General features: G+C 39.4%; 1 annotated feature.

Moving 5' to 3' along the window:
* Window positions 780-1,979: an enhancer, noted in NCBI's record as "MED14-independent group 3 enhancer chr13:55060370-55061569 (GRCh37/hg19 assembly coordinates)". NCBI's record gives its function as "activates an origin of replication core promoter dependent on BRD2, BRD4, P300/CBP and CDK7 cofactors, and independent of MED14, by STARR-seq in HCT116 cells {active_cell/tissue: HCT116}" and the evidence as "EXISTENCE:reporter gene assay evidence [ECO:0000049][PMID:35650434]".

Genomic DNA, 2,940 nt, shown 5'->3' with positions numbered 1-2,940 from the left:
TCTTGTATTTGAATGTCTAGATATCTAGCAAGACCAGAGAAGTTTTCCTCAATTATTCCCTCAGATATATCTTCCAAATTTATATTTCTATTCTTCCTTGGGAACACCAATTATTCCTAGGTTTGGACTTAACATAGTCCCAAACTTCTTGAAGGCATTGTTCATTTTAAAAATTCTTTTTTCTTTGTCTTTGAAAGATTGGGTTAACTTGAAAGCCCTGTCTTCAAGCTCTGAATTTATTTTTTCTGCTGGTTTTATTCAATTGCTGAGGCTTTCCAGTGCATTTTGCATTTTTCTAAATGTGTCTTTGACTTCCAGAAGTCGTGATTGTTTTTAATCTGTGCTATTTCACTGAAGAATTTTGATTTCATATCCTTTATTTATTTAAGGTAGATTTCACCTTTCTCTGGTGCCTCCTTGATTTGCTCAATAATCAATCTTCTGAATTCTTTTTCTGGCAATTCAGAGTTTTCTTCTTGGTTTAGATCCATTGCTGGTGAGCTGGTATGATCTTTCGCGTGTTAAAGAAGCTTATTTTGTCATATTACCATAATTCTTTTTCTGGTTCCTTCTCATTTGAGTAGACTATGTCAGAGGGAAAATCTGGGATTCAAGGGCTGCTGTTTAGGTTATTTGTCCCACAGGGTGCTCCCTTGATGTGGTGTTCTCCCCATTCCCCTAGGAATGAGGCTTCCTGAGAGCTGAACTGTAGTGATTGTTTTTGCTCTTCTGGGTCTAGCCATCCAGCAGAGCTACCAGGCCCCAGGCTGGTACTGGGGAGTGTCTACAAAAACACTACAAAGATCGTATCCTGCGATGCGACCTGTCTCAGGTCTTGCAGCCATGGATACCAGCAGCTGCTCTGGTGGAGGCAGCAGGGAAGTGAAGTGAACTCTATGAAGGTCTTTGGTTGTGTTTTCGTTTAGTGTACTGGTTTTGTGCTGGTTGGCCTCCAGCCAGGAGGTGGCACTTTCAAGAGTGCATCACTGTGGCCCTATAAGAAGGCTACAGGTTTGCCATGGGGATACCTGGTTAAGTATTTGTGTTTCTCAGGCAGTGGGCAGGGCCTTAGCGCTGCCAAGAGATTATGACCTTTGTCTTTGGCTACCAGGTCGGGTAGAGAAAGACCGCCAGGTGACAGCAGAGGTAGGAGTGTCTGAGTTCAGCCTCTCCTTAGGGCTTACTGTGGCTGCTGTGGGGCATGAGGGTGTGGTTCCCAGTCCAGTGGAGTTATATTCCCAAGGGGATTATGGCTGCCTCTGCTGAGTCATGCAGGTCACCAGGAAGGTGGGGGAAAGCTGGCAGTCACAGGACTCACCCCACTCCCACATAGCTTGCAGTCTTAAAGGCTGGTCTCACTAACACTGTACATCCCCACAACAGCAGCAAGTCTATTTCCAGGTAGCCCATCACCAGGGCTGAGAACTTACCCCAAATCATGAGCCTCCCCACTGAGAAAGAAAGCAGACTTACAGGTTTTCGGTGTCTCAGGGAGCCTGTAGCAGTGATCCAGTTTCTTCAAAGGGTCTGTGGATTCTCTTAACTTTCTTGGTACATTCCTGTGGTAGTTCTTGGAGCAAAAGTTCAGTCTGTGAGTCTCCACGTGATGCTCTGCCCATCCGAGTGGGAGCTATAAGCTAATCCTATCTCCTATCCAACATCTTAATCCTTCTTAACCTTTTTAGCAACTCAAGTAAGATTTAAAATGAATGGTCATCAAATTTGTAAATTATTAAAACCTATGAGAGAAATAATGAATAATTTGGATACAAGATTCGGATTGCAAAAATCCTATTGTTTGATCTCTAAGTAAAAGAAATTTGAATATAGGTCAATAGAATAGTGGAATATGACCATTTAAATACCTAATTGGGTCACACAATGCATCATTAGAAATATATATCAGAGATGAAAGATAAGATAGTCTAGTTTCATTCTGTTTGAAGGTAGACCAACTTGACAGATTACATTCAATTTAGGCTCATAATGCTTTGAAAATTTCTGTGTCACACTGAAGGAGTTTGGTTGCATGTGTAATTAGTGAAACAGTTTTAAACTAGATGATGTAAATAATGTCATAAACAAAACTAGATAAGTTTTGTTTGTAGCAGGAAAAACTCACTGGGAAAACATGTAGAGATGATTTTTGTATGGAAGGTAGTTGAAACTTTTTTTGTGTTGCAACAGGGTAATAAGATATAGCTTGCTTAGCACAAAGTTTAATTATGTGGAATGATAAGCAATAAGTGTAATGGGGTGTTAAATCAAAACAGAATCATATTAGTGGGGAATCACCAACATTTATTCAATTTGATGGAGAAACCTTCTTTGGGTGATGTGACTTCAGAAGTTATTTTAATTACAGGTCTAAGAGGAATACCAAACTGTAGGAAAGGTAAAACAAGAAAAACATTAGCAGGAATAAAGGGTGTAAAAAATAGTGCATCAACTTAACAAAAAAGGGATTGTAAGTTAATTAGAAGATGAGAGAGTAGAGAGGTTTTTGAAGTAAAGGCAAACATTTCTTAGAGAAGGTAGTGAAGAGAATGAAAGTCTTGGACTGGAAGAAACAAGGCCTTCTATAGAGAAGCAGCAGATACTCACTTTGAATAATGACAAGACTCGGGCAGAGCTGGAGGGATAGAATCTTATATGAAGGTTGCAACAGTTCAGAACATCAAAAGCCTCTCAAAAGTATCTACTTATTTTATTTTTCAAATATTCATTGTGAACATATACACTTCAGATGTGAATTCAGTGTTTAAAACTGTCCTGAGGGTGAGCGTTCATGATGTTTGCCATTTTAGAACATTTGCCAGTGACAATACATGACTACTTAATGAAAAGATCATAAATTTTAGGTGGCATAGAATCAATTTCACTGGTTACTTATTTATCTGTTAATTTATCTTGAACAGCGACTGCTGAAAATTTTTGAGG

The sequence above is a fragment of the Homo sapiens genome, chromosome 13 (genome assembly GCF_000001405.40).
Source record: "Homo sapiens chromosome 13, GRCh38.p14 Primary Assembly".
Lineage (NCBI taxonomy): Eukaryota > Metazoa > Chordata > Mammalia > Primates > Hominidae > Homo > Homo sapiens.
Note: the sequence above shows the minus strand (reverse complement) of the source record. Positions and strands in the feature narration are given on the sequence as shown.